General features: G+C 53.1%; 1 protein-coding gene across 2 annotated transcripts in view, besides 1 other annotated feature; it reads left to right on the plus strand.

Moving 5' to 3' along the window:
• CACNA1I (calcium voltage-gated channel subunit alpha1 I) overlaps positions 1-23,636 on the plus strand; it is a 118,983-nt gene that overhangs the window by 13,132 nt on the left and 82,215 nt on the right. For both annotated transcript variants that reach the window (NM_021096.4, NM_001003406.2), the window contains exons 2-3: positions 14,267-14,378; positions 16,636-16,769. In NM_021096.4, the coding sequence (NP_066919.2) occupies positions 14,267-14,378; positions 16,636-16,769 (246 nt within the window). The remainder of the gene's footprint in view (positions 1-14,266; positions 14,379-16,635; positions 16,770-23,636) is intronic.
• Positions 7,924-8,833: an enhancer, noted in NCBI's record as "H3K4me1 hESC enhancer chr22:39987813-39988722 (GRCh37/hg19 assembly coordinates)". NCBI's record gives its function as "activates a minimal SCP1, AML or CMV promoter by ChIP-STARR-seq in naive H9 embryonic stem cells {active_cell/tissue: H9 hESC(naive)}" and the evidence as "EXISTENCE:reporter gene assay evidence [ECO:0000049][PMID:30033119]".

The raw sequence follows: 23,636 nt of genomic DNA on the forward strand, positions 1-23,636 counted from the left end.
TGGCCCTGCACATAGTAGGTGTGCAGCACAGCTTTTGATGAAGTGCATCCTGGCAGGCAAGGTTGGAGGTAGAGGTTGTATGGCCTGAGATGAGGCTGGAGGGAGACCAAGAGTGCTGTCACAGAGGGCCTTGTATGCCAAGCCAAGGACTTTGGAAAGAAGGCAGTGGGGAGCCACAGAAGGCTTTTGGTTTTGAAAGGGCTCTCTGGCTGCCATGGAGGTGGGGGATGTATCAGAGGATATGAGGCTACAGGAGAAGGCTGTTCAGGAAGGAGAGAATGCAGCCTGCCTGGGGCAATGGGGCATTGAGGAGTGGGCAGAAAGGAAGGGTTTAGGTGGTGAAATGGACAGATCTCCGAGATAGATGTGGGGCGAGGGGAAGGGAGGTTCCAGAGAGTTCTAGTCTGGAAAACTTCCAGGACTGGTGATGGGGGTGCATCCTTCATGGAGGTGGGACATGCTGGGGGAGAATTTAGTGGTCTGGGAAGAATATGATACATCTCTTCTGGACGTGATGAATCTGAGGTTCCCAGAGACTTCCCAGCACTATATCTGGGAGGCCTGGTGCTCAGCAGTCAGGGTTCCTGGGGCTGGGACAGACTTGGGACCTGCTCAGCCATAGTCATTTAGGCTGTGGAAGTGGATATGGAGTCCAGGAGAGGAGATGGGAGACCAGAGGGCTGGGGGCTGGAGGAGCCCAGCATTTAAGTGACAGAACCACAAAGTGGGAGGAAGACAAGTCTAGGGGCTTGTGGCATCTCCTGGAGCCCAAGGGGAAGAGAGTTTCTAGAGCAGGGGTCTGAACCTGGGGTTCATGAGCTTGCATGGGCACAAGTTGCATATTTGTTTTGACTGACCCCTGACTGAAGTTTAGCATTTCTTTCTGTTATGGATGGAGGAAACAAACCACACTGGTATTATTAGCAACTTCTGTGGCTGTCACCCATAGCAATCACCAATATTTCCATGTCACATCATGGTCCTTGTAGAGCTCTGAGAATATCATCACGGCCATCACTTTGAGGCAGTGTCACTTAGCGTCCAGCCCAGCACTGGAGCTTGCTACTTACTGTGTTGATAACAAATAATATATGTTTCTTTATCAAAAATTTGTTTTAAAAATATTTTGATAACTACTTTAACATAACTACCTTCCTTTCTAGTTCTATGCTTTTTATTTTTATTTCTTTTTGAGATAGAGTTTCGCTTTTGTTGCTCAGGCTGGAGCGCAGTGGTGCAATCTCGGCTCACCGCAACCTCTGCCTCCTGGGTTCAAGCGATTCTCCTGCCTCAGCCTCACAAGTAGCTGGGATTACAGGCATGTGCCACTGTGCCCGGATAATTTTTTTTTGCATTTTAGTAGAGACAGGGTTTCACCATGTTGGTCAGGCTGGTCTTGAACTCCTGACCTCAGGTGATCCACCCGCCTTGGCCTCCCAAAGTGCTGGGATTACAAGTGTGAGCCACTGGGCCCGGGCTTTTTTTCTTTCTTTCTTTCTTTCTTTTTTTTTTTTTTTTTTTTTGAGACTGAGTCTCCCTCTGTCACCCAGGCTGGAGTGCAGTGGCGCGATCTTGGCTCACTGCAGCCTCTTCCTCCCGATTTTAAGCGATTCTCCTGCCTCAGCCTTCCAAGTAGCTGGGATTACAGGTCTGAGCCACCACGCCCAGATAAATTTTGTATTTAGTAGAGATGGAGTTTCACCACGTTGACCAGGCTGGTCTTGAACTGCTAGCCTCGAGTGATCTGCCCACCTCGGCCTCCCAAAGTGCTGGGTGAGATTATAGGCGTGAGCTACCATGCCCAGCTGTAAACTTAAAAAAAAAAAAAAAAAAACTTTTAAAGTTTTTTTTTTTTTTTTTTTTGCAATGCGGTCTCACTATGCTGCCCAGGCTGGCTTTGAACTTCTGGGCTCAAGTGATCCACCAGCCTCAGCCTCCCCAGTAGCTGGGGCTATAGTGCACCACTGCACCTGGTTTACTAATCCTACACTTCAATATTTAAAAAAATGCATTTGACCTGGCGCGGTGGCTCACGCCTGTAATCCCAGCACTTTGGAGGCCGAGGTGGGTGGATCACGAGGTCAGGAGATTGAGACTCTCCTGGCCAACATGGTGAAACCCCGTCTCTACTAAAAATACAAAAATTAGCCAGGCATGGTGGCATGTGCCTGTAATCCCAGCTACTCAGGGGGCTGAGGCAGGAGAATCGCTTGAACCAGGGAGTCAGAAGTTGCAGTGAGCCGAGATCGTGCCATTGTACTCTAGTCTGGCGACAGAGCAAGACTCCATCTCAAAAAAAAATAGCATTTAAAAACTTTATTCTGGCTGGGTGTTGTGGCTTATGCTTGTAATTCCAGCACTTGGGGAGGCCAAGGTGGGTGAATCACTTGAGGTCAGGAGTTCCAGACCAGCCTGGCCAACATATAATGAAACCCCTTCTCTACTAAAAATACAAAAATTAGCTGGACATGGTGGCACATGCCTGTAGTCCCAGACACTTGGGAAGTGGAGGCAGGAGAATCACTTGAACCTGGGAGGTGGAGGTTGCAGTGAGCCAAGATAGTGCTACTGCAATCCAGCCTGGGTGACAGAATTAGACTCCGTCTCTAAAATAAATAAATAAATAAATAAATAAATAAAAACTTTATTCTGAAAAGGGGCTTGTGGCACAGAAAAGGTTAAGAACCCCTGTTCTAGAAGAGGAGTCAGTCATGCCCAGTGCTGCTGGCACATGCGAGTGAGAATGCCTGCTGCATCTGTGTGCACACGTGTATAAGGGGTGCAGGTGCATGAGAGGCAGCAGCTCTCCTTGGGAATGCACACATGAACACAGACGTGTGTTCAGGGGCAGGCAGGGGAGACACGCGGCAGAGGACAGGTCCCCAGGGAGGCTGGAGAAGAATGTAATCCACACTGGTCGAGCCCTCACCCTCTCAGTTCAATGGCTGCTTGGGAGAAGGGAGGCATCAGAGGCACGGTGAGGTCCCAGAGGAGGCATCTGCAGCCCCTGCCCAGGAGTCAAGGAAGCCTTCCTGCCTGCATACTTTCTGTGTGGTTGGGCTCCCGAGGCTGGATCAGCCCACAGACAGTGGGACCCTGGCCCCCAGGGACCTGCCTGGCCCTTCTCTTCAGCTGTGATGGAAGCAGCTGTGTCTGGCAAATCTCTTCGGCTGGAGCATCCTTCCTGTGGACCTTCCACCTTGGCTTCTCATCCCAGCTGGCAGCCTCTGTTTCCTGCCATTGCCTCCCCTACTCTGCTGTCTGCACTGGGTACTGAAGCTTGCTAGGTATTTGGGAATCAGAGACTTTGGCCAAATACAATGAGTTCTTATACAACGGGGATTCCAAGAAGTGGGGCTGGCGTAGGAACAAGGAAGGGCTCACTCCCTTGCCCCCTCCTGAAAAGGATCTCAATGCACTGAGATGGCATAGCTTATAAGCAGAACCAATCATGCCATTTGTCATGTGGGGAGTTCCTTGTCGCTGGAGGCATGTAAGCGGAGGGAGGCCTGGGACCATCTGCCTGGCAGGTCTCTTCATTTTATGGAGCAGCTTTCTGTCTCAGCTCAATCACTGTGTCATCTCGGGCAAGTGCTGTCTTCTCTGGGCCTTCATTTTCATGGCCATAAAGTGGGGTGTAATAATGTCTGCCATGCCTGTCTCCCGAGGCAGCTGTGGCCACAGGTGGAATGAGGTTTAAAGGAGAATTAGAAGACAGGAGGGTATGAGGTTCAAATCCTGGCTCTGTCCCTCACTGACTGTGTCCTTGGGCAAGGCTAAGGAACAGAGATGATGCCCATTCCTGCAGGTTGTTGTAAAGGTTCCTGTGGGGTTTGGCAATAGCAGGTGCCCTAGCAGGTGCCTGTGGTTTATTTTATTTTATTTGATTTATAATTATTATTATTTTTTGAGACAGAGTCTTGCTCTGTCACCCAGGCTGGAGTGCAATGGTGTGATCTCGGCTCACTGCAACCTCTGCCTCCTGGGTTCAAGCAGTTCTCCTGCCTCAGCTTCTGGAGTAGCTGGGACTACAGGCATGTGCCACCATGCCTGGATAATTTTTCTATTTTTAGTAGAGACAGGGTTTCACCATATTGGCCAGGCTGGTCTTGAATTCCTGGCCTCATGTGATCTGCCTGCCTTGGCCTCCCAAAGTGCTGGGATTACAGGTAAGACACTGTGCTGGCTGATTGTGGATTTTTAATAGTTGCATTTTTGTTTTTCCTTAAAGCAGTTGCTCTTCATTTTTTTTTTTTTTTTTTTTTTGAGACAAAGTCTTGCTCTGTCACCCAGGCTGGAGTGCAGTGGCACCGTCATAACTCACTGCAGCCTTGAACTTCTGGGCTTAAGTGATCCTCCTGCCTCAGCCTTCTAAGTAACTGGGACCACAGGTACATGCCGGCAAACTCAGCTGTTCCATTTTTTATTGAGGTTAAATGTACAAGTTGAGCTCACAAATCCTAATGTGCAGTTCAAGGCGTTTTCTTTCTTTCTTTCTTTCTTTTTTTTTTTTTTTTTTGAGGCAGAGTCTCACTCTGTCGCCCAGGCTGGAGTGCAGTGGCGTGATCTCGGCTCACTGCAAGCTCCACCTTCTGAGTTCACGCCATTCTCCTGCCTCAGCCTCCCGAGTAGCTGGGACTACAGGCGCCCACCACCACGCCCGGCTTATTTTTTGTATTTTTAGTAGAGATGGGGTTTCACCGCGTTAGCCAAGATGGTCTCGATCTCCTGACCTCGTGATCCGCCTGCCTCAGCCTCCCAAAGTGCTGGGATTACAGGCGTGAGCCACTGCGCCCGGCCTTCAAGGCATTTTCATATAAGTCCTCTCCTGGGGCCACCACTCAGGTCAAGAAGAACATCTCCAGTCCTGGAAGCTTCCCTGTCCCCCACCTGCCTTGGGTACTCCCCAACGTTACTGCTCTTCTGACCTTCTTCACTGTAGATTGGCTTCTCCTGGCTCTTAACTTCATGTAATTGGAGTTACGCGTTGTTTGCTCTGCTGCGTCTGGCTTCTGTTTCCCAGCAGAGATCCCTCCATGCTGTTGTGTGTTTCAGTTGCCTGTCCTTTTCATGGCTAAGTAGTACTCCATGCGGGCTTCTCATGCATGGCACTGGTGACATTTTGAGCTGGATGATTCTTTGTTGTGGGGCTGTCCTGTACGTTGTAGGGTGTTTTAGCTGCATTCCTGGTCTCTACCCACTAGATGCCGGTGTCCTATCCCCTCAAGTGTGACAACCAAAAATGTCTCCAGACACGGCCAAATGTCCCTTGGGGGACAAAATCATCCCTGGTTGAAAACCACCACCCTACCCCATTCTTCTGTTGATGAACACCTAGGTTGTCCCAGGTTGGGGCTGTTACCGATAACACAGACGTGCCTGTTCTGGGACGTGGCTTTTTGTGGGGTGTGTGAGCATTTCTCCTGGGTATGCACCCAGGAGTGGCCCCGCTGGGTCCTAGCGTGGGCATATGTTTGGTTTTAGTAGAAGCTGCTGAGCAGCCTTCCAGAGTGGTTGCTGCCTGTTTATTATTCATTGAATAAACGAATGAACGAATGAATGTGTGAATGAGTGTCCTCCCAAAACCCCAGGCTCTGAAACAGCTGATGTTCAAATTGGTGGCCACTGTTGCTCGAACACATGCTACACCGTCACACATCACGGGTGGTCCTGGAACAGGGATGCACACGGGCACCTTCCAGGAAGGAGCTGAGCCTGGTTCATCTCAGCACCCTGAGGCACAGGCCACGTATACAGCAGGTGGTCCTTGGATGCTTGTAGGCCTGGCCTCAGAGGAGCATGGAGCTGGCCCAAGAACTGGGATCTGGAACCTCAGGCCTGGAGGGCCTGAGGCCTGAGCTCCCCCTCCTTTGGGTTCACTGGGGACCAGCAGGGGAGGGACACTCGGTGTAGGTGCTGGTCCACCTTCCCTACCTCCCCGATCCAGGAGGATGGAGCCCCCAGCCCCTTTTCTCCACCTGATTTATTTAGACAACTGAAACGCACCCTGGGAAGTGGATCAGATTTTAGATTTGACAAAAATAAAAACAAACTTGGCCACCCCCGCCAAACCCAGCACTCCCGCCCCCACCAGCCTCCCAGAGCCCCCCGAATCACAGAAACTGAGTGTCGCCTGGGCCTGCAGAAGGAGGGTGGTGGTCGCCATGGTAACCATGCAGGCCTCTGGCTCGGCTCCTGGAGAGGAGGCTGCCCTGCAGGGCCTGCCCGGGCGCCGGGCACTGCCCCTCCACACGGTTGCTCTTCTAGCTGGGAACTGGCAGGTTTGAGGGAGCCCCAGCATAGTGGCTTCCCTGGTGACCCTGTCCCCTTAGTCCACATCCTGACCTTCTCAGGCCTTGGTGGCTAGGGTGTGGTGTGGTTATGATCTGGCTTAGCTGGGTTTTGATCCTCCTGGCTGGGGGACCTTGAGGCAAACATGCCCTTGCTGGCTTCCCCTCCCCTTCTTCCTGCAGGTAGAGCTTTCCTTCTGAACCACAGCAGGGGCTGGAGCATCTCTCTTCCTGACCCCACTGCATACAACACAGGCCTGGGTCCCCAGCAGGGACACAGCCAGACGGGCTGCCGGCTGGGCTCACCACTGACCCAGCCTCCGCTTCCCTCTGCCTGGCTGGGAGCCTCAGAGAGAGACGATGTGGGTGGGGAGGAAAGAGCAAATATTCCATTAAACCCATCTCAGTTGGGGGTCCCTCACATCGCAGACACTGAACCAGGTGATGGCAGGATGTGTGGATGAGAACATGGGATTTGCAGCCAGTGAGAGGCAGTGCAGATCCTGCCCCTGCCACATACCATGGGAGTGACCCTGGAACCACCTCCTGTGGCCTTAGTTTCCTTTCCTGTGAAGTGGGGATAACGGTAGTATCAGCCAGTTTGGGAGAACTCTGCTGATGTTGCAGGGTGACCCTGCTCATTGCTAGGCCTGAATTGGTTGACAGATTCTTTTTGATTTTTATTTTTTGAGATAGGATCTCGCTCTGTCGCTCAGGCTGGAGTGAAGTGGCTTGATCTTGGCTCACAGCGACCTTCAGCTCCTGGGCTTAAGTGATCCTCCCATCTCAACCTTCTAAGTAGCAGACTACAGGCGCGCACCACCACAGCTGGCTAATTAAAAAATTTTTTTTTTTTTTTGCAGATATGAGGTCTCACTATGTTGCCCAGGCTGGTCTCAAACTCCTGGGTCAAGTGATCCTCCTGCCTTGCCCTCCCAAAGTGCTGGGATTACAGATGTGAGCCACTGCATCTGGCCTGGATTCTTTTTTTTTTTTTTTTCTGAGACGGAGTTTCACTCTCGTTGCCCAGGCTGGAGTGCAATGGCGCGATCTCAGCTCACTGCAACCTCCTCACCTCCCGGGTTCAAGCGATCCTCCTGCCTCAGCCTCCTGAGTAGCTGGGATTACAGATGCCCGCCACCACGCCCAGTTAATTTTTGTATTTTTAGTAGAGACGGGGTTTCACCATGTTGGCCAGGCTGGTCTTGAACTCCTGACCTCAAGTGATCTGCTCACCCCGGCCTCCCAAAGTGCTGGGATTACAGATGTGAGCCACGGCACCCGGCCTGGCCTGGATTCTTTACAAAAGGCTGTGGGCGAAGATTCAGTATGCTGCAGGACAGATATCTATCACAGGGGCTGTACTAGCATCTCTTCTTTTCTTTTCTTTTTTTTTGTTTTTGAGATGGAGTTTCACTCTGTCACCCACGCTGGAGTGCAGTGGTGCAATCTCAGCTCACTGAAACCTCCACCTCCCGGGTTCAAGCGATTCTTCCACCTCAACCTCCCAAGTAGCTGGGATTACAGGCGCCTGCCACCATGCCCAGCTAATTTTTTGTATTTTTAGTAGAGACAGGGTTTCACTGTGTTGGCCGGGCTGGTCTTGAACTCCTGACCTCAGGTGATCTGCCCGCCTTGGCCCCCCAAAGTGCTGGGATCACAGGCATAAGCCACCGCGCTTGGCCATGCATGCTGTTTGATTTGGAGGCTCCTTGGCAAACAGACACTCAGGGGCACTGAAGAAGTGTTCGCGATTGTCACCATTATTACCACCGGCAGGCTGGCGCCTGGCACACAACAGGCACACAATATAAGCACATTCATTCCCCCTGCTCAGCTCTGAGACCCCAGTTCTGAAGACTTTGAGAGGTGTGGTGCGGGGACGTGGGTAGGAAGTGGGGCTGAGGGCCCAGGCTGTGCTGAGGCGCTGGGGGGCTCTGCAGCAGCACCCAAAGACCCTGAGTGATTTTCTCCCCGAGGCCTGTGTGCTTGGGACGGCTTTGCCTGCCAAGGAAACTCGATTGATTGCATCACCATTGATCTGTTTCTCCATCTGTGTTCCTCAAAGGCGCTCAGGGCTGCCCGTCAGGGATCTAACCAGCTTAAAGTGATGGTACTGTGGCTGTGCCGAGTGTGTGGGGAAACGCGGAGGGTTTCCGTGTGAGTTTGAAAAATCGACTGTGGCTTGGGGACCCCCGTGGGTGGTGAGTCTGTTGTCTAAGTGTCACTTCAGCTCTGGGCTTGCTGTGGAGCTGGGACAGATTTCTGCCCCTGTTTTCCATCAGTGCAATGAGGGATTGGAGCCGTTGCTCTCTAACGACGCTGGCAGGGCTGCTCTGTGGCAAAGGTCACCCCGACTGCAGTGAGGGCCTGAGGGGTGAAGTAGGCGAGGCAGCTGGGCCTTGGATGCCCGTCGCAGGGCTTCAAGCCTCGCTGTGAGAGGCAGTTGGGAGCCATTGAAGACGTCCTGCCGTCGTGGCACTAGCACTCCAGCCCTGCCCCCTCTGTCACCCAGAAATCCTGTGCTCCCCCTTGGGTCTCCAGCTTCCCTCAGGTTGTCCCCGAACCTCACGGCTTCGCTTGCCTGTGTTCTCAGAGAGTTCCTCAACACTTGTGACTCATGGTGGAAGCATGAGGCGTCAGGCCAGGCTGCAGAGTGGCTCAAGCCGGAGACCTTGACTCCCCCCGCCACCCTCCTACCCCACACTGCACTGTCTGGTTTAACTTCAAGGAGGGCTGGTGCTTTTGATCCCTGAGCCAGTGGGGAGTGTGTCAGGAACCGCGGGCAGTGATGCCAGTTCTGGCCTGACTTCTAAGCCTCCTGGGCTCTTGGAAGGGGCCCAAGCTTTGCCATCTGGGATTTCCCCGGGCACCTCTGGGCAAGGGCTGAGACCATCCATTGCTGAATTTCTGAAGCTGAGCAGCCCAGGGATGAAAGCCACTCCATCTGCCTCCTGCGGGGACCCAGTGCAGTGGGCGAGTTAGATGGGCCACAGAGGCAGTGCTGTGCAGCGGCCACCAGCACTGCTGTGAATCAGACAATCTGGGCTGCTCGGGGACTGGGTGACCTTGTGTGAGTGGTGTCAGCTCTCCAGGCTTGTTCCTTTTCCATCCCCAGGGGATTGTGAGAGCTGAGGTCATGTCCCTAGGGTGTCTGGTACACAGTCGTCAGAGGTACTGCCAAATTCATCACTGTGGTACGTGCTAGCCAGGGCAGGTGGGAGTGCTTCTGGAGAGGAGGCTGAGCCACCACCTTGTGAGGGGCAAGAGGCACATCCGGGGAAGCTTCAAGAAGAGGTGACCTGCGAACTGGGCTCTGAAACAGTCTGCCTGCTGGAGAGGTGGAGGAAAGGGAAAGTGTAGGCAGAAGGCGTGTTTGGAGAAAGCGAGTGCTGAGGCCAGTGAGTGATAAGACTGCAAGGATTCACTGAGGCGAGAGTCTACCTTGCGTACCAGGCTTGGGAGGGTGATGGGGAGCCATGGGAGGTTCTTGAGCAGGAGAGAGGCATCTGGAGAGTGTGTTTCAGGCAGATTAGCCTGGCAGTGGCAAAACAGCTTGGAGGCAGGAAAAGCCTCCAGCCTGAGGTTTTGTGTCTCAGCTCTGCTCTTTTCCAGCTGGTGACCTTGGGCCAATCTGTTTCCCTTTTGTGTCTTGGTTTCCTTATTTGTAAATGGGGCTTATAAAAGAGCTGTGAGGATTAAATGAGATAACATTTGGAAAATGTTCAAGTTGTGTTGGGCACACAGCAAGTGCCTGGTTATCGTGTGGGGCAGATTGGAGGGGCAGAGACCAGAGCTGGGGGATACCGAGGATGCTGGGTCAGGGTCCTGGGGAGACACACTGAAGATGGGCTGAGAGGCCTCAGGGGAGGGAGGAGAGCCATGGGCAGAGACAGGCCGTACTTCACAGAGGAGAGCGCTGGCCTTGGAGTCCAGCAGGCCTGGTGTGAATCTCTGTGCCAGTAATTCCTAGCTGTGAAACCCAGGAGAGGCCCCTGATTTCCCCATGTCTCAGCCTTCCTTATCTGTAAAATGGGCCTGCTGACCTCCACTGCTCAGGGCCTTGTTGAGGAGGCAGCAGGGGCACCGGGCTCCTGGGAGACGCCACTAAGTGCACTTTGAGCCTGAAACTGGCAGGAGGGGCAGAGGGAGCAGAGGATGGGGCTGGAAGGAGAGAGCGCACGACAGGAAGAGGGGAAAGGCGAGGGGGATGGGGGATGTTCTTTGGTAATTAGAATGTTCGAACTTCAAAAAAGTTAATTAATGATGAAGCTGCTGCTGGAGCCAGGCTCAGGCTCGAAGGGGGCCCTGGCAGCGACTGAAATTAATTACAGGCTATGGCGGGAGAGTGGCAGTGGGGTGAGGGGACGGGAAGGAGCAGGGCTGGGGCCAGGAGGAGCTGAGAAGAGGCCACGAGTAGGCAGCATCCCAAAGTGGGCAGGGCTGGGGATGGGAGGGAGGCTGTTGCCATGGAAACCAGGTCACCTCTCCCACTCCTCTCTGGGTGGGGTCCTGCTGAGGGTTTGGCTGGTGTGGCTACATCCCAGCTAAGGGCAAGGGCTTTGAAATGGAGGGGTGAGGGGTTTGCTTGGAGACACTCCTGAGTCCCCGGATGTTGGAGTGGGCAGGGCCCCTAGAGATTTACAGTAGCACCCCCCCTTACCCACAAGGGACACATTCCAAGACCCCCAGTGGATGCCTGAAGCCACAAATAGCACTGAACCCTATATTTACTATGTTTTTTTCCTATACCTGCATACCTGGATAAAGTTTAATTTATAAATCAGGCATTGTAAGAGATGAGTAGCAACCAATAATAAAATAGAACAATCACGCCAGGCGCGGTGGCTCATGCCTATAATCCCAGCACTTTGGGAGGCCGAGGCAGGCGGATCACAAAGTCAGGAGATCGAGACCATCTTGGCCAACATGGTGAAACCCTATCTCTACTAAAATACAAAAAAATTAGCCGGGCGTGGTGGCGGGCGCCTGTAGTCCCAGCTGCTCAGGAGGTTGAGGCAAGGGAATTGCCTGAACCTGGGAGACGGAGGTTGCAGTGAGCCGAGATCACGCCACTGCACTTCAGCCTGGCGACAGAGCAAGACTCCGTCTCAAAATAAATAAATAAATAAACAAAAATAAAAAATAAAATAAAATAAAACAATTAGGCCAGGCACAATGGCTCATGCCTGTAATCCCAGCACTTTGGGAGGCCGAGGCGGGTGGATCACCTGAGGTCAGGAGTTCAAGACCAGCCTGGCCAACACGGTGAAAACCCGTCTCTACTAAAAATACAAAAAATTAGCCGGGCATAGTGGCAGGCGCCTGTAATCCCAGCTACTTGGGAGGCTGAGGCAGGAGAAACACTTGAACCCAGGAGGCAGAGGTTGCAGTGAGCTGGGATCTTGCCATTGCACTCCAGCCTGGGCAATAAAAGTGAAACTCCATCTCAAAAAAAAAAAAAAATTAGAATCACGTACGATAATCAAAGTTATATGAATGTGGTCATGCGGTCTCCCTCTTTCTCTCTCTCAGAATCTCTTATTGTACCGCACTCATACCTAATTTTGGGCCACAGTGGACCATGGGTAACTGACACGGCAGATAATGAGGGACAACTGTATTTATTCATCCGACAGATGTTCATTGAACACCTACTAGATGTTAGGCCGTGAGTGTAAAGTCCCTGTCCCCTTTGGAATGTAGATTAGAGCAGTGGCAGAGACAATGAGCATGTCAGCAAGACAGTGGCAGGGCGTGAAGAGGGCGTGCGGCAGCTGGGGGTGATGAGGTTGGGTGGAGACTTCTCAGAGGAGGTGAACATGATGCTAGAAGCTCAGCCCTTGAAGTGGGAACAGCACATGCAAAGGCCCTGAGGTGGAGTGTCCTGATGTCACTCACTGTGTGTCTGAGGAGCGGCAGGAGCCAGTGAGGTCAGAGCAGAGTGAGCCAGGGCAGGGCGGAGAGAGATGGGGGAGCAGGGTGGAGAGAGATGGGGGGGCAGGGCGGAGGGAGATGGGGGGGCAGGGCGGAGAGAGATGGCGGAGAGAGATGGGGGAGCAGGGTGGAGGGAGATGGGGGGCAGGGCGGAGGGAGATGGGCAGGGCGGAGGGAGATGGGGGAGCAGGACGGAGGGAGATGGGGGGCAGGGCGGAGGGAGATGGGGGAGCAGGGCGGAGAGAGATGGGGGAGCAGGGCGGAGAGAGATGGGGGAGCAGGGCGGAGAGAGATGGGGGGGCAGGGCGGAGGGAGATGGGGGGGCAGGGCGGAGGGAGATCGGGGGGCAGGGCGGAGAGAGATGGGGGAGCAGGATGGAGAGAGATGGGGGGCAGGGTGGAGAGAGATGGGGGGGCAGGGCAGAGGGAGATGGGGTATTAGGGCCCAGGGAGATGGGGTGTCAGAGTGGGGCCCTGCAGGCCAGGCAAGGGCTTCAAAGTTTGTGCTGAGAGAGCCCAGGAGCAGGGGCAGGGTTTTGTGCTGGGGAGGGAGGTGGTCTTGCTGATGTTTTTAACTGCCCACTGCTGCTGCAGGAAGGGTGGTTTGGAGGGGCCAGGGCAGACCCAGGGGGCCGATGGGGAGGCTCCTGGTCATCCGGTGGAGGACCTCTAGGTTCAGAGACAAGGAGGGGCTTGCCGAAGACCGCAGAGCCAGTCAGTGCTGGGACGAGTTCAAATGCAGGTCTCCTGGCTTCGTGGTCTTGTTTGCTGCTTTTACTGCATGAGAGCCCCTTTCTGTCTCCTGACACTCAGTTTCTGGGGGAGGAAAGGGGGTTGCATAGGTGGGGTGTGGTGAGTTCCATCAGCATCTCTCCTCTTACAGAAGGAGAACCTACTCCCGACTCCAGTCATTGCCTGTTAAGTTCAGTCAGGCTGCATGGTCTGGAAGTTCACCTGGGTGTCTGACTTCATCATACTATGTGTGGCTCAAGTCCATTTCATCCTGGACTGCCTCTTTTCAAGTAGGCACAGATTTTCGAAGGCCCCAGGACTCAGTCAACTGGAGATCCCGTTGGGGAGATCTGAGCAGGCTTCGGATTTCTTACTGGTATGACAGGCGGGGGCTGGAAGTGACACAGCCCTGAGCTCCTTGAGGCCTGACCTCCCTGGTCCTGTGACTGGGAGGATAGACAGTGGCGGGACTGGACACTGCGGGCTGTGTTCTAAGGATGGGTAGGAGTTGGCCTGGGAGGGAGGGAGGAGGGCATTCATGGAGGGGCTCTCAGCAGTGGTGAGGAGAGCAGCCTGGCCAGGTGCAGGAGGGGAGCCCATTCACCCCAGCTGCAAGCTGTGCCCAGAGGCCCTGCCCAAGGCCAGGTTCATGGCCAGCTCTGGATTCCCTCCGCAGCAGGAGACTTTCTGCCTGTCCAGGACTGAGGGGCCCAGCCCCACCCCATGTGGTGCAGGCCAGGGCTGGGCTTGGTGCGGGTGTTTTGGAGTTAGGTGATGAGCCCTACCTGAGCCCTAACCCTGGCAGTGGGCAAGGAGAGAAGGACGGGGCCATCCAGCCAATCTCAGCCCCACTGGAGGGCCCTCTGCGGGCTCCAGACCCAGACCTTGGCAGAGACGGAGGGAACATGGGTCAGGGGAGGGAAAGGTGGTCAGAGAAGGGAGGCAGTGACAGTCAGAGGGTGGTAGTTGGGGTGGAGAGGCTGGGACAGCCCAGAGTTCCCTGACAGCCAGGCTTCCGGGAACCTCTCCCTTCCCTGGGCCTGAGGGGAGCTCTCAGGCTGGGGCAAGGAGTGGGGTCCTGCAGCTGGGGGCCTGGTGGGTTTGGCGCATATGGCCATGTCTGTTGTGATGGGGGCAGACTGGCACCACGGGCTTTGAGCTGTTTCAGGGATGGCACCCAGAGGGAGAAGAATGAGGAATGGGGTGTATGCCTGTGTGTGTGGTGGGTTGCGGGTATTACACTCTAGGGTGCACCCCAGCCCCCACGGGCGATCCCACCTGCTGCTTTGTCCTTGACTTGGTGTGCACGTGGTTTGAATGTGTCAGCATGCTGGTGATCCTGCTGAACTGCGTGACACTTGGCATGTACCAGCCGTGCGACGACATGGACTGCCTGTCCGACCGCTGCAAGATCCTGCAGGTGAGCCGGCCGCCCCGCCCCGCCCCGCCCTGCCCTCATCCTCCAGGACCCGGCCTATGCCCCGCCCACTCCACACCCCCGCCCCATGTCCTGGCCTTGCCCCGCCCACTCCATGCCCCGCCCCGCTCCGTGCCCTTCCCCATCCTGCGCTGCACTACCAAGCGCTGCCGCACTCAGCCACCACCAGCCGCACTCACTTGGCTGACCCTTCCTCACTCCCACCTGGTCTTACCTATTACCCTTCGGATCCTCTCTTCCCTTTATCTCTCCTCTCCACCTTGAAGCCTCTACCTTAGTCCAGGCCTCAATCTTCTCCTACCCGGGTGCCCCCACCAGCCTTCTCCTGCACCCGCCACATGCACACCTGCAAAGAACAGTGACCCCGACTCTCCTCTGCCTACAACCTGCACTTCGTCCCCCGTGCTCTTGGACTAGAGGCCAAGTTCACACCCTGCCCTAGATGCCCTTTAGGAGCGGGCCTCTGGTTTTACATTCTGTTATCTCCTGAGGTCCTGGGGTGGGGCTTGACCTTTGGTACCTGACATAACCCTGTGCAGAGCATGTATACGGGTAGCACAGATGTTAGGGTTGTACCCATTTTACAGATGTGGAAACACTCGGTGCAACTCCCTGGGAAAGCCAGATTCCTCCCGGGAGGCATTGCTTTCTGCCTCTTGGGTTTTTTTTTTTTTTTTTTTTTTTTGAGACAGAGTCTCACTGTGTCGCCCCAGGCTGGAGTGCAGTGGCGCGATCTCGGTTCACTGCAAGCTCCACCTCCCGGGTTCATGCCATTCTCCCACCTCAGCCTCCTGAGCAGCTGGGACTACAGGCGCCCGCCACCACGCCTGGCTAATTTTTTGTATTTTTAGTAGAGACGGGGTTTCACCATGTTAGCCAGGATGGTCTCAATCTCCTGACCTCGTGATCTGCCTGCCTCGGCCTCCCAAAGTGCTGGGATTACAGGCGTGAGCCACTGTGCCCAGCCTCTGCCTCTTGGGTTTCTATAGGACTCAGTAGCTCCCAGGCAGCACTGGGCCAGAGTCTCCCCGGGCACTTGGTAAAAATCCAGACCCCTGGCCGGGCGCGGTGGCTCATGCCTGTAATCCCAGCACTTTGGGAGGCCGAGGCGGGCGGATCACGAGGTCAGGAGATCGAGACCATCCCGGCTAAAATGGTGAAACCCCGTCTCTACTAAAAATACAAAAAATTAGCCGGGCGTAGTGGCGGGCGCCTGTAGTCCCAGCTACTTGGGAGGCTGAGGCAGGAGAATGGCGTGAACCCGGGAGGCGGAGCTTGCAGTGAGCCGAGATCCCGCCACTGCACTCCAGCCTGGGCGACAGAGCGAGACTCCGTCTCAAAAAAAAAAAAAAAAAAAAAAAAAAAAAATCCAGACCCCTGACCCCATCTCAGACCTGCTGAAGCAGAATTTCTGGGTGGGTCTGGGGTCCGAGTGGGTAACAAGCTCCTCAGCAGCCCCGGGCCCCAGGCCTGGTTAGCCTCATGGTGAGTTCACCGAACAAGCACCTCTGTGTCCTCACCACTGGCCTAGCCCTGGCACACAGTAGGTATGTGGCACCTGTTTGTTGAATTGAGTTGGCTGCAGCCCTCACTAATCCTGGAAACAGGAATTCCACCCAGTCCCCGCCCTCAGGAAGCATAATCTCATAGCCTCCTTTGTGGGCAGAGAAAGGCAACACTGAGGCCTGTGCCTGGGGGCTACTTTGAGACAGCTGCTTCCATGGGGGCTTTGGGGTGAGACCCACCGGAGTTTCAATCCTGGTTCTGCCACTTATCTGCTGTGTGACCTGTGGGGCAAGTTGCTTAACCTCTCTGAGTCTCTGTTTCCTCATCTGTAAAATGGGACTACCCATGGGGTCCTTGGGAGAATTAGGAGAGAGAATGGGGGTCAAGTGTGTAGCCAGTGCTTGGTAATTATTAGGGAGAATATGGGACGGCCCCTCACCCCACCCCCACCTGGGGCTCTTCTATCTGTTCCCAGGCTTAGGGAACAGATAGAACGGGCTGTATGACCTTGGGCAAACTCATTCCCGTCTCTGGGCCACAGTCTCCTCATCTATGAAATGACTGCATTGGACTGGGATCACTGAGGTTCTCCTCCTGCCCAGGAGGAGTTTCCGGGTGTTTCCCAGGCCCCTTGCATCCATGTGGTGTCCCCACCTCACACTGTGGCTGCAACCCCTGGGCCCTGCTCTGCAACCTCACCCTGTCCCTTGCTTCCCTCCTCCTGCCCCTGCAGGTCTTTGATGACTTCATCTTTATCTTCTTTGCCATGGAGATGGTGCTCAAGATGGTGGCCCTGGGGATTTTTGGCAAGAAGTGCTACCTCGGGGACACATGGAACCGCCTGGATTTCTTCATCGTCATGGCAGGGTAGGTAGCGCCCGCCAGGCAGGTCCTAGCCTCTGGTGCACACCAGGCATAATTGAGAGAATCCAGGGCTTCTTGCTGATGGCGATGAAGGGGAATCACGGTGATGCGTGGGACCCTCCTGGACCCCTGGGCTGGGAGGAATGATGGACAGACAGACATTCTTTCCTCCCTTCCTAAGTTGTGCGTCCTCCAGCACTGCCAGCGGATACTGGGTGAGTTTATGCTAATTAATGATACGACCTTGAGAGAGCCACTGACGCTCTCTAAGCTTTCATTTCCTCATCTGAAAAGGGGAATAATAATAGTAGCTGCGTCAAAATGAGCACCCAATAAATGCTAGCTGTTAGGATTGCTATCCTGGATCTCTCATCACGCCAGAGACCGAGCACAGACTCAAGCACTGTCTGACTCCAGACTGTGGTTATTTCTACCGAGACACAAGCTGCCGTCAGGGACAGGCCTGGTTACAGCTGAGCCCATCTGGAGCGTCTGTGACCCTGCTCTGGGTCTTGTGCCTGCTTTCCTGGGTCAAACCCATCCATGCATTCATCCATCAACCAGGGACTGAACAACTTGCTCCCCAGTGTTGGCGCCGCCCTAGCTGCTGGGGGCAAGGAGGAGAGCAAGCCAGACACAGGCCTTGTCCTTCCTACTCCTGTCTCGGGGAGGCACCCACCTGCTACGCCAGTGGGCGTGCCTTCACACACGGGGACCAGGGCGCTGGGCAAAGCATGTGGTTTGCTGAGAGCATTTAACACAGCAGCCCGACTGAGCCAAGCTGGGGACTTGGGGGCTTGAGGGCTTCCTGAGGAGGTGACACGGGAGAGCTGAAGGATGAGGAGACATTAACCATGCCCAAGAGTGGGTCATTATTAGGGCAGAGGAGAGAGAAAAAGGCTGGAGGCTGTACGTGTGTGTGTGAGAGAGGGTGTGTGAGTGTGTGTGTCAGTGTATGTGTGTATGTGTGTGACCTCGTGTGTAGAATGCTATTGAGGAGGTGTGACCTTTTTGATTCAGTAGACGCATGGCTGAGACGGACAGTCAGGGTGTGAGAATCCCATCAGGTATCTGCTAAATTCCACAGATGTGTTCTGAAGTGAGGTGATTCGTTTCACTAGGGTTTTAAAAAAGTTACACCTCTTCTAAGCTTGCTTGCTCTCTCGCTTTCTCTCCTTCCTTCCTTCCCTCCCTCCCTCCCTCCCTCCTTCCTTCCTTCCTTCCTTCTCTCTCTTTCTTTCACCCTCCCTCCCTCCCTCCCTCCCTCCTTCCTTCCTTCCTGCCTTCCTTCCTTCCTTCCTTCTCTCTCTCTTTCTTTCACCCTCCCTCCCTTCCTTCCTTCCTTCCTTCCCTCCTTCCTTCCTTCCCTCCTTCCTTCCTTCTCTCTCTCTTTCTTTCGCCCTCCCTCCCTCCCTCCCTTCCTTCCTTCCTTCTTTTTTTGAGATGGGGTCTCACTCTGTACCTAGGTTGGAGTGTGGTGATGCAGTCACCACACACTGCAGCCTTGACTTCCTAGGCTCAAAGGATCCTCCCACCTCAGCCTCCTGAGTAGCTGGGACTGCAGGCATGTGCTACCAACCCTGGCTAATTTTTCTTTTCTTTTCTATAGAGACAGGGTCTCACTATGTTGCCCAGGCTGGTCTTGAACTCCTGGGTTCAAGCTTTCCTCCCACCTCAGCCTCCCAAAGTGCTGGGATTACAGGTGTGAGCCACCGCACCTGGCCTCTAAGCATCTTCTCTCAATCACTGTATTCAGTTTTACAAACACATTGTCAACAGTCACTGAGACCTGTACGGAAGCTACTCTGGTTTCCTGTGGTTTCCTGAGCACTGTATCCTCCTCTTAGTCACGTTCTTCGTTTTCATTCTTATTCTGGTTTGGCTGGAGAACATCTTTAAGTAGTTTTTTTTTAAAAGAAAAGGTGTTTGGATAGTGTCATTTTTCAATCTTGCCTGTCCAAACATATATTCCTTTGATCTTTGAGTGTGGACCGTTATTTGTGCTATTGTAGAGTCAGAACACTGCACACATCCTGCCATTCAAACCTACACTATAGTATTGCAGGTGAGTCCAGTACAGATCTGGTTCCTCTTTCTCGGAAGATGACCTTCTTTTTCCTGACTAGAAGCTTGTGGGCTTTTCTCTTTACCTTCACAATCAGACCTTTCTCTAGGGCAGGTCTAAGGGGGACCTTAGAGAACTCAAGACTGGTGCTTTTGGCCAGGTGCAGTGGCTCACCCCTGTAATCCCAGCATTGTGGGAGGCCGAGGCAAGAGGATTCCTTGAGCCTAGGAGTTTGAGACCAGCCTGGGCAACATAGTGAGACCCCATCTCTACAAAAAATAAAAAATTAGCCAGGTGTTTGTGGTGCACTCCTGTAGTCCCAGCTACTCAGGAGGCTGAGGCTGGAGGCTGGGCTCCTTGAGCCCAGGAGGTTGAGGCTGCAGTGAGCAGTGATCGTGCCATTGCACTCTAGTCTTCAACAAAGCAAGACCCTGTCAAAAAAAAAAAAAAAGATTCATGCTTTCCATCATCTCAGAAGAAAGTTCTTCCATCTCTTCTTTGACTATGGCCCATTATTCTCTGCTGTCTCCTTCTGGAATTCATGTTATATAGATGTTTCTGTCCTCTATCTTTTGTCCATGCCTTTCCCCTTTTCTTTCACAGATTTTGCTTGTAATATGAGAGAAATCTTTGACTTGGGCTTCTGAATCACAAGTGGGCTTTTCAGCAATGTCCTTTCCCCTATTTACTGCCCCTATGGAATAATTCATTTCCTCAGTGTCTTTTTAATTCACAAGAACACTTCTTGTTTTTGGATTTCTTGTTTTTCAGAGTACCTTGTGCCTGTTCTTGTTTTATGGATGCCTGCTCTTGTTTTATGGATGCCTGCTCTTGTTTTATGGATGCCTGCTCTTGTTTTATAAATACAATATTCACCTGAATCTCCTTATATACTAATTAGGCTTCTTAAAAGTCTTTTCACGATTCTGGAAGTAACCCTGTACCAAAGTATAATTTCTGAAAAGGTAAAAAAAGTGACCCTTACACAAATCTTAGAATGAATGTATACGGCAGATTTATCCAGCTCGTTAAGGAGTAGGGACTCAGCAGATGGTAATCAGCAGAATTAGGAAAACAGACATCGGAGAAAGAATGTAGGAAGAAAGTGAGATTAGAGTCAAAACTGGTTAATAACCTACAGGGTAATAAACCATAACCTTTGGAGTTATCTTTTGGGCAGAAATCACATACATCTCTGCCAGATAAAAATCTACAAGTTAAAATGTAATTTCATAGCATCCAGACCTTTAGTGAACAGGAAATTGTGAAGCAAACAAAGGTATTTTCTCCCTGGATAATGAAATAATCTTTAAATGGCCTGTTAAATTATGCTTCAAAATGACATTGCGAGAAATAGTGCCCTCCTTTTGCCGTATTTCCAAGTTCTAGGGTAATTTTTCCTAACTCTTGTTTCAGGGAAGTCATTTGTTCTGCTGGCTCCACAGACTGACTCCCATGGGCACCCCCACGCTGCCCTTTTGACTTGAAGCATTCTGTATTGCTTAGCGATTCTTTCCTGTCTGCTCATATTTATAAATAAAGACGATGAGGCTCTAAGCTGAGCAGGGTGAAGAGCTGCCTAGCTTCAGCATTGTGGTGAGCTCTCAGTTTGACATTTTCTCTTGGTCCTCGAGATGGGGGCTGGATGAGGCGAGGTCTGCAGGCCAGCATCCTTGGGAGATCAGGGAGGGCTGGGCATGGGGCTGACATGCGATGTGTGCGGTCACACAGGGCCCCACGCTTGGGTCCATACTCTGCTGTCACTATTTTGAAATTCTTAATCATTTATGAACAAGGGGCCCTGCATCTTCAGTTTGCACCAAGTCCCACAATGATGTAGGTGGTCCTGGCTGAGGGATAGATGCAAAGGAGACTTTTTTTTGAGGCAGTTTCATTCTGTCACCCAGGCTGGAGTGCAGTGGTGCGATCACAGCTTACTGCAGCCTCGCCCTCCCTGGACTCAGGTGATCCTCCCACTTCAGCCTCCCAAGTAGCTGGGACTACAGGCACATGCCCCATGCCCGGCTAATTTTTTTTTTTTTTACTTTTTAATTTTTTTGTAGAGACAAGCTCTCACTATGTGACCTCCTGGGTTCAAGTGATCCTCCCACCTTGGCCTCTTGAAGCGCTGGGATACAGGTGTGAGCCACCACGCTCAGCTGACTTTTTTGCTGGAGTCATGAGCACTCTCACTGCCCAGCTATGTGCTGGATTTGGGAACTCAGGTGAACAGGACCACCCCGTGCTCAAGGTCGTTCCCATCCTTTGTGCCCAGGGGTGGCGTGGGTGGAGAGGACAGGATGGGGAGTCACAACCCTGGCTCCAGAGCCCAGCCCTCCGGTCCCCCTCCCACCCAAGACCCATCCCCAGAGCTGCCCACCCACCCCCCAAATCCCACCCAGGCCTGGTGCTATAAATGTTCTGTTCCCCGAGTAACCGGCCTATTTGCTCCCTTCCTCTACCTCCCCTTCCCCAAATTAATTACTAGCTCTTTCTTCAAGCTGTGGAGGCAGACATAGCACCTCCGAGTTAGAAGGTTCCTTAGAGGTCACGGCCTTCATCTCCACATCTGGTGTAACCCTCATGGCAGGTGTGTCTGAGACTGGGGCCTGCCTCTGTTCCCAGGCTGCCCCTGCAGGGAGCACAGTGCCTCACCAGGCGGCTGGTCTCAAACTAGGACATCCAAATGCACTAGAAAGCTCTTTCTTTCACGGAGCTGAAACTGATCTTCCTGTGGCTCCCACCGGATGGTACCATTCATTCATTCATTCATTCATTCACTAAATCGACCTTTATTGAGCATCTACTACATGCCAGGCCTTGTGCAGAGCAGTGGGGGCATGAAGATGAACAAGACAGGCCCTTTGTGATTTCACGTAACTTTCAGTTTGGAAAACAGAAATAAAACACATCACCACAACTAAAGTCTAAATTGGGATCCATGCTGTTGTCAGGAAGCATAGAGAGCCATCAGGTCATGGAATGGGGTCCTGCTTTTGATTGGGGGGTGTCACTGTATGTCACACTGAGGGACAGACCTGGGGTAGGTAAGAGCTGGCCAGGCAGAGAGCTGGGGGAAAGGGAGTTTCAGGCAGCGGGGAAGCATGCAGGAGGCCTGAGGGGGTGCATGAGGAAGGGAAAGGTGAGTGACAGGGGATGCTGGAGCCCAGGGTTTCTGGGGGGTGGGTGCTAAGACATGAGGCCAGAGAAGGGCAAGGGCTTCATTGCACAGGCAAGGTCCAGAGGCTGCAGGGATGGTATCACTGACAAACTCATAGCCGTCCTTCAGAAGTTGGGGGGTGGTTCCTGTCCTCCTCAAGTCTCCCCTTCCAGATGAAATGTCCCCAGCCTTCCCACCATTTGTCAAAGGACAGCGTTCATCCCTTATCTGCTGGACTCGCTTCAGGCTGTCTCTGTCCCTGGCAGGAGAACGGGATCCCACCCTCCCAATGATGGCTTATGGGGTAGAGAGAATGGGCTGCCCTCGCCTCAGTGAAGTGTGGGATTGCGGTGGCCTGGGGAGTGGCCATGCTCCCTTTTGCCGTCAGGTCATGTTCACTCTCCAAACCAGGTCTCTCCCACCCTGGAACTAAAAGTTGGTGATTTTTAAAACCCACGTGAAAAACTTTGCACTTACTGCTGTTGAGTTCATCTCACCGTGGCCTCTTGGAGTCCTGAGGCAGCCGCTCATTCCATGCACTTCCTGCACTCGCACAGCTCAGGATAGTGAGTCCTGTGGCACCGCACTAGACTCTTCCAGTGTGTGACAAAGACCCCGTCATCATCTCTATTTGTGTTTGGTTGAACCCAACTCTTTTATTTATTATTCTTTTTTGAGACAGGGTCTCTTTCTGTTGCCCAGGCTGGAGTGCAGTGGCGCCATCTCGGCTCACTACAACCTCAGCTTCCTAGGTTCAAGCAATTCTCATGCCTCAGCCTCCCGAGTAGCTGGGATTACAGGCATGCGCCGCCATGCCGGCTAAGTTTTGTATTTTTAGTAGAGACGGGGTTTCACCATGTTGGCCAGATTGGTCTTGAACTCCTGACCTCAAGTGATCCACCCTCCTCGGCCTCCCGAAGTGCTGGGATTACAGGCATGAGTCACTATGTCTGGCCAATCCCAACTCTTTGTCTTATCATTTAAGCTACACTTTTCTGCCTCTGTCCATTAGGAGGTCATGAACTATTCAATCACATTCTTGCTGAACTTGAGACGTTCTTTATCTGTGTATCTCCCTTGGTGCATCATGCTGGTAATTCTATCTCCTCCCCCAACCAGAAACAAAATGGCCATTGCCACCTGTGGGGAGGGGCCTGGGCACTTCTGTTAAAAGTTCCCCAAGAATTCTGATGTCTGGTCTCTGGGGGTGAGCCAGGGGTGGAGGGTGAGGCTACTGGGATCTCTCCAGAATGAGGTTTGCCAAGGACATGGCTGATGTGGGCCCTGTCTTGGATGAGTACAGAGAACAGGAGGCGCCTTACATCTGAAAGACTTCGCAAGCTTCTGACTGTGTGGAGAATGGAACAGCTGAGGGCAGGGTGTGCATAGATCAGGAATGCGAACTGCCCCACTCCCCAAACACATGCACATCCTTTCACCCCTTCTCAATGTTCCTCCAACGTCAGGGAGCAGCAGGATCACTGGGGCATGTGTTTAAAAGCAGATTTCTGGCCTTAGCTCAGGGATCCACTGCCAGCAGGCAGGCAGAGCTTAGAAATCTGCATTGTAACCAAACGCCCAGGTGGCCCTGATGTGGTCTGTGGGCCACTGGTGGAGAAATTACAGCTCATTCGACTGTCACAGC

Source organism: Homo sapiens, chromosome 22 (genome assembly GCF_000001405.40).
Source record: "Homo sapiens chromosome 22, GRCh38.p14 Primary Assembly".
Classification (NCBI taxonomy): domain Eukaryota; kingdom Metazoa; phylum Chordata; class Mammalia; order Primates; family Hominidae; genus Homo; species Homo sapiens.